The 12,623-nt window shown below is 36.4% G+C and overlaps 1 protein-coding gene across 10 annotated transcripts in view; it reads left to right on the forward strand.

Annotated features, from left to right (window-relative positions):
• Positions 1-12,623, forward strand: part of CCNB3 (cyclin B3) — a 149,202-nt gene that overhangs the window by 109,025 nt on the left and 27,554 nt on the right. For 4 of the 10 annotated variants that reach the window (XM_017029915.1, XM_017029914.2, XM_017029913.1 and 1 more), the window contains 3 exons: positions 797-895; positions 1,130-1,153; positions 2,119-2,211. The exons of 1 other annotated variant lie outside the window; for it this stretch is intronic. In XM_017029915.1, the coding sequence (XP_016885404.1) occupies positions 797-895; positions 1,130-1,153; positions 2,119-2,211 (216 nt within the window). The remainder of the gene's footprint in view (positions 1-796; positions 896-1,129; positions 1,154-2,118; positions 2,212-12,623) is intronic. 5 more of the 10 variants (XM_047442599.1, XM_017029917.1, XM_047442600.1 and 2 more) reach the window with 3 other exon arrangements.

Raw genomic sequence — 12,623 nt, forward strand, 5'->3', positions numbered from 1 at the left:
TCTCTTCTCACCTTTTGTAGCCTGAGGTTACCCATGATTTGGGATACATTTCCCAGGTTCTTTGGCATTTTTCTCTTAAGTTGGCCTTGTACAATCTCTTGACTTCCTGATTGGCACAGTGATAGATCTAAGCAATCAGAAAGTATTTATTCCAGTAATACCCACAAGAGTCTGGACTACTGTGCTATATACTTGGGCTTTGCAATAGTGGCCAGGTAATTTCATTCAGGAAATTGCCTTTCTTAGTAATTGTAATTTGCATCACGGTGGGCTTTGGTAAAAAATGGGCAAAGTTCATAGGAGCATCTCCCAAGGAAGGTGGTCTTTACGTTGTAAATTTGAATAATGAAGGGATGATATTTAGCAAGCAGGAGGAGAAATGTCCTTTTTGTAGCAAAACATCCTGGGTAAAGGTATAGAAAGGAGGAAAAGACTACCAAGATGAATTGGGCCAGATCAAAGCATTGACATAATTAGGGACCTAAGAAGACAGGTAACAAAGCTGAAATAATAAAATAAGAATGTCCGTCTTGGAGAATCTTCAGCTTACCCATAAAAAGGGTCCCTTGTTCCTAGGGCAGCGAAGGTATATACAATGAAGTCTAGGCATTTCTTGATCCCTGGACCATATGAGGATTGCACAGCCAAGGAGTACTGTGTTATGGCCCAACATATACAAGGCTTGAGACACCTTAGCAGAAGAAGACAGTGGGGAGAAAGGAGTAATCATTGATATGTATGTGCTAAGTCTTCCTTGGAATAATTCTCATAATATGTCTTTTTGGTGATTTCTAAGCAGATAACCCCACGGGAAGATATTGATGAGGACAGCAGTGATCCAAGTTTCAACCCAATGTATGCCAAGGAAATCTTCAGTTACATGAAAGAGAGAGAGGTATTTAGGTTGCTTGGGTTGGGCAATGATTTCTAGTTTTCATTTCTTCATCATTCCATCCTTCAGTGTGCAAGTTGAAAGGGGTGGTAATAATGATGATAAAAATAATAATAGCAACAACTAACATATTGGTAGCTTACTGTGAGTTGGACATTGTACTAACAGATTTGTAGATATTATCTTAATTCTCTCAGTAACTTCATGATGGTAGGTATTATTATCTCCCTCTTACAGATAGAGGAAACTGCCCAGAGTCATGTAAGTGGTACATGGTAGAGCTGAGATATGAACTAAAGTCTGATTGCCTTGAAGACCATAATCCTGTACATCTAATTGCTAAGAAGACAGTCTTAGACACAAAAATGGTCAAGTAGTCTCTGAGTGGCTGTTCTTAGAGATCTTTTTCCTTCCCTGTGCATGTTTCTGGCATTGTAGGCAAAATCGTATTCTTTGTTTCATCTCTCCAACCTGGTGAAGTTTTCTTTCTCCTTTGAAATCTGCCAGTCTCCTTTACCACTAATATTCATCAATTCCAAAGTTTCTTCTAACTCTCTCAACAGAACAGATGGGACCAAGATTATCTACCAAGCAGAATTTTTAGCAGGTCATGTATAAGAGGGTGGGAGGATGGAAACCCACCTACAGATCCACCTATCCTCTTTATAGAGAGAGTGCAATTGATTAACTGATTCCAAAGCCCACACTTTTTCTGGCATACCTAAGTAAGGGACATCTTTGTTATAATAAAAGTGTGAGCCTTGGTTCAGCAGTATCAGTTTCACTTGAGATTTTGTTAGAAATGCAGAAACCTAGCCCCATCCCAGACCTTCTAAATCAGAATCTGAAGTTTTACATGATCCCCAAGTAGTGCATATGTATGTTAAAGTTTGAGAAGCACTGCTCTACATAGCATGGTATTGTGCTTTAGATTGAATTGCAAAGAAAGGGCAGAACCTTTTTGGCATTTGTCTACAGCTGTAGGTGTGTTTCTGCCCTTATTTCCCCCTGGATTCTTCAATATCCACTCTGACACTTGAATATCACGTGTCTATTTCCCAAAGCATAACTGCAACTTGCCTGGAAAAGGATACTTTGATCTGCCCCTCTCTAATACCAGTTGAAAACAAGGAGTTAGAACTATGAGGGAGAAGTTAATTGTTAAGTTACAATGTTGAACTATAAGAAGAGTTTATTTATTAACATTTCTTTCTCATCAATGCCAGGAACAGTTTATACTTACAGATTACATGAACAGGCAGATTGAAATCACCAGTGACATGAGGGCCATTCTTGTGGACTGGTTGGTGGAGGTGCAGGTAAGCCTGACAACTCCTGCCTTAAGGAGCTGCTGTTCTCTTTCTCATTCAGGGCTGCCAGGCCAAAAACATGGTAAAAATGTACTGGGTCTATAGAGTTGAATAAGCTGTGGTTCCTGCCCTCAAGGAGCTCATGATTTAGGAGGCAAGATAAGATATGCAGACAAATAAGTGTAATACAAAGTAGAATATACTAAGTGCTCTAAGAATGTTTCAAATAAGATACTGTGAGAACTAATTGAAAGGAGAGACTCTTTCTAGAAAAGGCAGTGACGGTATGGTCGTTTTATCATTCTTAAAGTCTTGTAAAAGTATATCTAGTGATTTGGACTGGGGTCGATGACAAAGTCTTTCAAACTTTGAGTGGAATGGATAATAGGAAGGACAGTGTGGCACAGGACATGGCAGGTAGCTGTTTGTCCAAGGTGAGATATTGAGGGAATACTGCTATGAATACTTAATTATTATTTTATACTAAGATAGGAGAGCCCAGAGTAGTACATAGCATATAGTAGGGGGTCAGTAAGTATTTGTTGAATGAATGGAATTGAAAGAATTGCTATGGAGTTTGCAAGGAAACATACAGCATGGTCAGTCTACGCTCAGCAGTCTTAGTATGTAATTAGGAAGAAAAGACAATATAGTTTTATATCCTTTGTTAAGTATCAGAGGAGTGGTTCAGGCTCATTTTGGGGTGACAGACCAAGGAATTGTGGTAGACACAGTATATCTGAGCATCAGCAAAACATGAAAATGTCTCTCATCTTATGAAAATGGTAGAGAACAGTAAATCAGGTAAGAGTAAAATTTGGGTAGATCTTAAATAAGTGAAACAGAACCCAAAGATTGCTTATCATTGCCAAGCTGGAAAGAAATTTCTAGTGACTGCCATTGGACTTTGTTCTGCTTAACATTCTCATTAGTAATGTAAATGAGAACAGAGAAGATGTATTCATTAAATTCCTGGATGGCAGGAAACTAGGAGTAGGGATAGGAAATAAATGGCTTACAGAGAAAAAAATATCTCTGCCAGCTGGAATGATGAACTAAATATTTTTTATTTAAAGTTTTTGTTATTGCATAAAAATGTACATTATAGCAAAGTAAGAAATTATAATTACCTGTGATCCCACAACCCCAAACTGCTGTTCTCATTTGTTTGCATATATTATCCCCCCATCTTAAGCAGTGGTTATCCATTAGGGGTGCATCTCAGAATCAGATGCCCAGGTCCTATCCCAGACTTATCCAATCAGAATTGTGGGGATGTGGCCCAGGCACACATATTTTTATAAAGCTCCACAAGTTATATCAATGTATACCCCTTGAAAGAGAATCTCAGTTCTAGAAAATACCATATTGTTTTTATAACCTTAGTTATATGTAGTGCTTTTATAACTCTTTGGTTTTTTATTTTAAAATAACCAAATAACAATAATGACTTTTTGGATATAAAGTTCCATGAAATTTTAGCATTTGTTTGGAAATAATCAATTCATAAGAAATTGAAAAAAAGGACAAAGAGAGCCTGTATACCCTTCACCCTAGTTTATCCCGAAGATGACATCTGGCACAACTATAGTATAGTGTCATGGTCAGGAAATGGACTTTGTTATAATCCACAGACCTTGTTTAGATTTCAGCAGTTTTACATGCACTCATTTGGGGGTGTGTATAGTCTATTTGATCACATTTGTAAATAAATATTTAGTCTATTTGTTCACGTGTACATTTTGTAATCACTACCACAGTTAAGGTACAGAACTGTTCCATCGCCACAAGGATCCCTCATGCCACTTTTTGTTAGCCACAACCATCTCCCTCCCCTCTCCTTCCTGTCCCTGACAAATTATTTGTTTTCCATCTCTATAATTTTGTCATTTCATGAATGTTATATAAATGGAATCATACAGTGTATAGCCTTTTGAGCTTGATGTTTACTACTCACCGTAATTCCCTTGAGATCCATCCAAGTTGTGTGTATGAATAGTTCATTCCTTTTTGTTGCTAAGTAGTATTCCATGGTACAGATGTACCACGGTAATATGGTTTGGCTATGTCCACACCCAAATCTTATCTTGAATTATAGCTCCCATAATCCCCACGTGTTGTGGGAGGGACGCAGTGGGAGGTAAGTGCATCATGGGGGTGAGTTTTTCCCATATTGTTCTTGTCATAGTGGATATGTCTCACGAGATCAGATGGTTTTATAAAAGGCAGTTCTCCTGCACACACTCTCTTGCCTGCCTCCGTGTAAGATGTGGCTTTGTTCCTCCTTCACCTTTTTCCATGATTGTGAGGCCTCCACAGCCATGTGGAGCTGTGAGTTCGTTAAACCTCTTTTCTTTATAAATTACCCAGTCTCAGGTATTTCTTCATAGATGTATGAAAATGGACTAATACACACGGTGTGTTTAACCATTCACCTATTGAAGGACATTTGGGTTGTTACTAGTTTTTGGCTATTAAGGATAAAATTACTATGAATATTTGCATACAGCTTTTTTGTGAATATAGTTTTTATTTCTCTGGGATTAATACTGAAGAGTGTGACAGTTCTGTGAATTTTTAGCATATGTATTGATTTGTGTAACTGCCACTATGATTAGGAAATAGAACAGTTTGACTACGCCATAAAAACTTCCTTATGTTATCCGTTTAGAGTCACACCCACCTTCCACCCCTAACTCCTGGAAACCACTAATCTATTCTCTATCTTTGCCTTTTCAAGAATATTGTATAAATGTTTGTGTTATATGTAACCTTATGAGACTGGCTTCTTTCATTCAGTATGATGCCTTTAAGATTTATTCAAGTTGTTGCAGATATCATTAGTTCATTCTTTTTATTGCTGAGTGGTATTCTATGGTTCGGATATATCACAGTTTATCCATTCTCCTGTGGAAGGGTATTTAGTTTGTTTCCAGTTTTTGATGACTGTGAAAAGAACTGTACATTAATGTACAGGTTTTTATGTGAAGATATGTTTTAATTTCTAATGTCAGCACACAGGAGTGGGATCATTGGGACATATGGTAAGTGTATGTTTAACTTAATTAGAAATTGCCACAGAGTGGCTGTACATCTTGCATTCTCACCTCCAATGCATGAGAGTTCTGGTTGCTCTGCATTCTTGTCAGCACTTGGTTTTGTTAGTACTTTATTTTAACCATCTAATAGGTGTATAGAGGAATCTCCTCATAGTTTTAATTTTTATTTCCTTAAGGGTTAATAATGTTGACAACCATACTTGTCATGCATATATCCTCTTTGATGAAATGTCTATTCAAGTCTTTTGCCCAGTTATAAATAGGTAGTTCGTTTCCTTAGTGTCAAGTTACGAGAGTTCTTTATGTATTCTGGATACAAATCCTTTGTTGGATATGTGATTTATAAATATATCCTCTCAGTCTGTAGTTTTTCTTTCTCTTACCAGTGTCTTTCCCAGAGCAAAAGTTTTTAATTTTGATGAAGTCCAGTTTATCAATGCCTTCTTTATGGATTATACTTACTTCTAAGGACTCTTTGCCTAAACCTAGGTCAGGAATATTCTGTCTCTCTCTCTCATGTGTATGTGTGTGTGTGTATTTAAATTTATGTATGTATGTATGTATGTATGTATTTATTTATTTATTTATGAGATGGAGTTTTGCTCTTGTTGCCCAGGCTGGAGTGCAATGGTGTGGTCTCAGCTTACTGCAACCTCCGCCTCCCAGGTTCAAGCAATTCTCCTGCCTCAGCCTTCCCAGTAACTGGAATTACAGGTGCCCGCCACCCTGCCTGGCTAATTTTTGTATTTTTAGTAGAGATGAAGTTTCACCATGTTGGCCAGGCTGGTCTCAAACTCCTGACCTCAGGTGATCCGCCTGCCTCAGCCTCCCAAAGTGCTGTGATTACAGGCGTGAGGCACTGTGCCCGACTTCTTTCCTATATTTTATCTCAAAGGTTTATAGTTTTACATGTTACATTAAATCTATAGTCCATTTTTAGTTAATTTTTGTATAAGGTGTGAGATTTAGGTCAAGGTTCTTTTTTTGCATATGAGTGTCTAATTGTTCTAATGCCACGTGTGGGAATTAAAAACTATACTTTCTTCATGGAATTGTTTTTGCACCTTGCTAAAAACAGTTTCTGTGGGTCTATACCAATATTCTGTTTCCTTTATCTCTGTGTCTCTTCCTTCACCAATATCACACTGTCTTTATTTCTGTAGTTTTATAGTTAGTCTTAAAACTGGGTATTGTGATATTTTCAACTCTATTCTTAAAAAAAAAAAAAAAACTGGCCAGGAATGGTGGCTCATGTCTGTAATCCCAACACTTTGGGAGGCTGAGGTGGGTGGATCATGAGGTCTGGAGTTCGAGACTAGCCTGACCAACGTGGTGAAACCTCCGTCTCTACTAAAAATACAAAAATTAGCCGGGCATGGTGGCAGGCACCTGTAATCCCAGCTACTCAGGAGGCTGAGGCAGGAGAATCGCTTGAACCTGGGAGGCGGAAGTTACAGTAAGCCAAGATCGGGCCACTGCACTCCAGCCTGGGCGATAGAGCGAGACTCCATCTCAAAACAACAACAACAACAACAAAGCAAAAAACACCTGTTTTAGCTATTCTAGTTCCTTTGCCTTTCTATGTAAATTTTAGAATCAGATTATATCTTAAAAATATTTCTAGGAGTTTGATTGGAATTGAAATATATTTTGTGCAGAAAAGAGTTAAAATAATAGGCCTGATACTGCTATCCCTAGAAAGGTCTGTTTGCAAGGTTGGCCCTTGGCTGGTAATCTGGAAACTTGGCCGGTAAGCAGTCCCCACACTGATATAAAACTTCCCCGAATGTTAATTGTGGCTTACTGTGCTTAAACTCTTTATGCAAACAGTGTGGTTTAGGCTGAGCACCTGCTTTCCTTTTGGGAGTCTGGAACTTCAGAACATGCTAGGCACAGAGTGTTTACTTGACCAGTTCCCAATAAAATTTTGGGCACTGAGTGATAGTAAGCTTCCCTGGTAGACAACACTTTCCATGTGTTGTCACAACTCATTGCTAGAGGAATTAAGTGCATCCTGAAGTGACTACTGACAGGACTCTTGGAAGCTTGCTTGTGGCTTTTTCCAGATTTTGCCCCATGCTTCTTATCCCTTTGCTGATTTTGCTTTGTATCCTTTCACTGAAATAAATCATAGTCATGAGTATGACTATATGCTAAGTCCTATGAGCCATCCTAGGAAATCATTGTGCTTGAGGTGGTCTTAGGGAACCCCAATACACATCTATAGGTGAGTTCAGATAGAATTGGCGCGTTACTATGTTGAATCTTCCAACCTATGGTATGTCTCTCCATTTATTTAAATTTTCTTTGATTTATTTTTCTCATCATATAGATCCTATACATGTTTTGTTAGATTTATAAAAAATATTTTCTTCTCTTGAAGCTATTGTAAATTATGTTTTTTAAATTTAGCTTTCTATTTATACATTGCCAGTATGAAATATGGTTGATAGTTGTGTGTTGACCTTGTATTCTGTGACTTTGCTAAAACTCAGGAGTTCTTTTTTTGTAGATTTCTTGGGGTTATCTACATAGATAATTGAATCATCTGCAAATGGGGACCGTTTTATTTCTTCCTTTCTAATCTCCATGCTTTTTATTTTATTTTCATGTTTTATTATACTGCCTGAGACTTCCATTATGATGTTGATATAGATGCAGTAAGAGTGGACAGCATTGCCTTACTCCTGATCTTAGGAGGAAAGCATTGACTTTAACTATTAGTGTGATTTTAGCTGTAGGATTTTTGTAAACACCTTTGATCAGGTTGAGAAAGTTACTTTCTATTTCTAGTTTAATCCTGCGTAATATATTTTTTTATCATGAATAAATGTTGAACTTTGTCAAATGCTTTTTTCCTGCATCTATTGATTTTTTTTTGTTTTAGCCTAATATAGTAAGTTAAATCAATTGATCTTCAAAAATGGGAGCAACGTTATTTTTATATTCCTGAGATAAACCCCATTTTGTCCTGGTATATTTTTCTTTTTAGGTATTGCTGGATTTGATTTGCTAATATTTTGTTGAGGATTTTTACATCTATGTTTATGATGGATGTCGGGATGTTGGTCTGTAGTGTTCTGATTGGGTTTTTTGTTTGTTTGTTTTTTGTTCTGGTATCAGAATAATAGTGATCTTGTAAAATAAGTTGGGAATTATCCCCAACCCTTCTGTTTTCTGGAAGGGATGTGTAGAATTGATGTTATTTCTTCTTTAAATGTTGGTAGAATTTGCAAGCGAAAACATTGGAGCCTGGAGAGTTTTTCCCAAAAGGTTTTCAGTGAAGAATATCATTTCTTTAATATTTATAAGGTTATTTAAGTTATCTATTTCATATTGGGTGACTTTTGGTAGTTTGTGGTTTTCAAGGAGTTGGTCCCTTCCGTCTAAGCTGTCAAATTTATGTGCATAGAGTTTTTCATAGTGTTCCCTCTTTCATTCCTGATACTGGTAATTTGTGTCTTCTCTTGTTTTGTTTATCAGTCTTGCTAGAGGTTTATTAATTTTATTCATCTTTCCAAAGAGCCAGATTTTGGTTTCATCCATTTTTCTTTATTTTTCTGTTTTTAGTATTCTTCATATCTGCTCTAATTTTTATAATTTTATAATTTTTATAATTTTATAACTATTTAAAAAATAGTTTTCTTTCTTCTTGCTTATGGTTTAATTTCTTTATTATCCATGGTGATTTTCTGTGTAATAATTCTGTTACTGAGAGAGGAGTACTGAAGTCTTCAACTATAATTGTGGATTTGTCTATTTCTAAGTTTTGTCATTTTTTGCTTTGTGTTTTTTGAAGTTCTGTTGTTAGGAACATACACATTTAGGATTATTATATCTTCTTTATATTTATTTCTGACTTTTTCTTCATATAACAATGGTTATATGATTGCAATCATCTTTCCAGTCAAACTGATGTATTTCTATATCCATTTTATTTGCAGTATGGTATTTCTCTTCTATCATACCCATCCTGCTATTAATGGACATTTAGGTTATTTTCAAATATTGCTCTTTGAAATAACCCTGTAGTGAATATACATAAATGTGCATTTTTTAACAATTTTACTATTGTTTCTCCGGACCAAATGACTAGGAATAGGATTATTAGATCAAAAGATGCACATGAAAAATTTTTGTACATGTTGACAGCTATCCTTCTGAAATGTCATGACCATTTATGCTTTTACCATTACTGAATGAAAATGCTTATTTTCCCATAATCTTATCAACAAAAGAAGTTATATTTTTTACCATCTGATAAGTGAAAAATTTTAATGTGTTATTTTAGTTAGCTGTACAGAAGCACTGGCATTTTAAGTAGTCAAGTTTATCAGTTCTTATAACTTTAAGATTTGTTTCTTGCTTAGGAAAGTCATTAGTCCAGAATTATATAACTATTTCTACAAAATTTTTTCTAGAATATTTATAGTTTCATTTCTACTTTTAAATCCTTAGTCTATTGGGTGTCAGAATCTAAACAACTTTCTCCAATGATTATCCAGTTATTCTAACACCATTTATTTTCATTATACACTGGTTTGAAATGACACCTTTATCATAATACTTCAGTTTGTAGTCTTTCCAATTCTCTTCCATTGATCTATTTGTCTACTCTAACATCAGTAGTATACTGTTTTTATTATATATTATTTGTCTACTCTAACATCAGTAGCATGCTGTTTTATTATTATATTATTATGGCTTTGTAATACATTTATTGCCTCTTTACTCATCTTTTATAAAATATTCCTGGTTGTTCTTGCACATTAATTCTTCCAGGTGAGCTGTAGAATAATTTTGTCGAGTTTTCAAAAATAGCCCATTAGGATTAATTCAGGAAAAATTCACAGACTTTATAATGTCGAACTTACTAAGCCAGTTATGTTGTGTCTATTTACTTCCCAGGTCTTTTACAATTTCAATTTTTAAAAAATTTTCTTCATATTGGTCTCACTAACTTAAAAATGTTTTTCTTGAGTATTGAGAATTTTTTAAATGTTATGAGTGTTATCCTTTTTCCCTTTTAAAATTTATTGCTAGTTTTTTTTTTTTGGTTCCATATGAACTTTAAAGAAGTTCATATGGAACCAAAAAAAGAGCCCACATTGCCAAGTCAATCATAAGCCAAAAGAACAAAGCTGGAGGCATCATGCTACCTGACTTCAGACTATACTACAAGGCCACAGTAACCAAAACAGCATGGTACTGGTACCAAAACAGAGATATAGACCAATGGAACAGAACAGAGCCCTCAGAAATAATACCACACATCTACCACCATCTGATCTTTGACAAACCTGACAAAAACAAGCAATGGGGAAAGGATTCCCTATTTAATAAATGGTGCTGAGAAAACTGGCTAGCCATATGTAGAAAGCTGAAACTGGATCCCTTCCTTATACCTTATACAAAAATTAATTCAAGATGGATTAAAGACTTACATGTTAGACCTAAAACCATAAAAACTCTAGAAGAAAACCTAGGCAATACCATTCAGGACATAGGCATGGGCAAGGACTTCATGTCTAAAACACCAAAAGCAATGGCAACAAAAGTAAAAATTGACAAATGGGATCTAATTAAACTAAAGAGCTTCTGCACAGCAAAAGAAACTACCATCAGAGTGAACAGGAAACCTATAGAATGGGAGAAAATTTTTGCAATCTACTCATCTGACAAAGGGCTAATATCCAGAATCTACAAATAACTCAAACAAATTTACAAGAAGAAAACAACCCCATCAAAAAGCGGGCAAAGGATATGAACAGACACTTCTCAAAAGAAGACATTTATGCAGCCAAAAAACACATGAAAAAATGCTCATCATCACTGGCCATCAGAGAAATGCAAATCAAAACCACAATGAGATACCATCTCACACCAGTTAGAATGGCGATCATTAAAAAGTCAGGAAACAACAGGTGCTGGAGAGGATGTGGAGAAATAGGAACACTTTTACACTGTTGGTAGGACTGTAAACTGGTTCAACCATTGTGGAAGACAGTGTGGCGATTCCTCAGGGATCTAGAACTAGAAATACCATTTGACCCAGCCATCCCATTACTGGGTATACACCCAAAGGATTAGAAATCATGCTGCTATAAAGACACATGCACATGTATGTTTATTGCAGCACTATTCACATTAGCAAAGACTTGGAACCAAGCCAAATGTCCAACAATGATAGACTGGATTAAGAAAATGTGGCACATATACACCATGGAATACTATGCAGCCATAAAAAATGATGAGTTCATGTCCTTTGTAGGGACATGGATGAAGCTGGAAACCATCGTTCTCAGCAAACTATCGCAAGGACAAAAAACCAAACACCGCATGTTCTCACTCAGGTGGGAGTTGAACAATGAGAACACATGGACACAGGAAGGGGAACATCACACACTGGGGCCTGTTGTGGGGTAGGGGGAGGGGGGAGGGATAGCATTAGGAGATATACCTAATGTAAATGATGAGTTAATGGGTGCAGCACACCAACATGGCACATGTATACATATGTAACAAACTTGCACGTTGTGCACATGTACCCTAGAACTTAAAGTATAATAAAAAAAATTTATTACTAGTATATTGGGAAACAGTTGATTTTTTAATGTATTTTATGTTCATCTACTTTGCTGAAGTTAGTCATGATTCATTTAATTTACTCTTGCACTTGATATGCTTATACTTTATTTACAATTTTTGCATCTTTGCTCATAAATCAGATTCCTTTTTAAGTTTCTGTTGAAGGATGCTGTCATTATTAAGTGTGGTAAAGATTTAATAAAGGTCTTTATAAAGGATTACTCTAGCTTTTTAACATAATTAGGGAAATTTTCTGGCAGTACTAAATTTAACACAGGAATTGTATTTTCCTTGAAGAACTTGTCCATGAACCCATCAATATATAGTGCCATTTTTGTGTGTGATTCTTTGAGAAATTTTTATAATAACAATGGCTATTGGCCTAGTAAGGTTTTCTTGCCCTTCTTGAGTCATTTTTGTAGTTTATATTTTACTTTTTTGTGTTTGTTTGTTTTGTTTTGAGACAGGGTCTCACTCTGTCACCCAGACTGGAGTGCAGTGGCGCCACCTTGGCTCACCGCAATCTCGGCTCACCGCAATCTCTGCCTCCCAGGCTCAAGCTATTCTCCTGCCTCAGCCTCCAGAGTAGCTGGGATTACAGGCGTGCGCCACTACTGCCTGGCTAATTTTTGCACTTTTAGTAGAGGCGGGGTTTCACCATGTTGGCCAGGCTTGTCTCAAACTCCTGAACCTCAAATGATCCACCCTCTTCGACCTCCCAAAGTGCCAGGATTACAGGTGTGAGCCACTGTGCCTGGCCTTGTAGTTTATATT

This window comes from Homo sapiens, chromosome X (assembly GCF_000001405.40).
Source record: "Homo sapiens chromosome X, GRCh38.p14 Primary Assembly".
In the NCBI taxonomy this organism is placed as follows: Eukaryota; Metazoa; Chordata; class Mammalia; order Primates; family Hominidae; genus Homo; species Homo sapiens.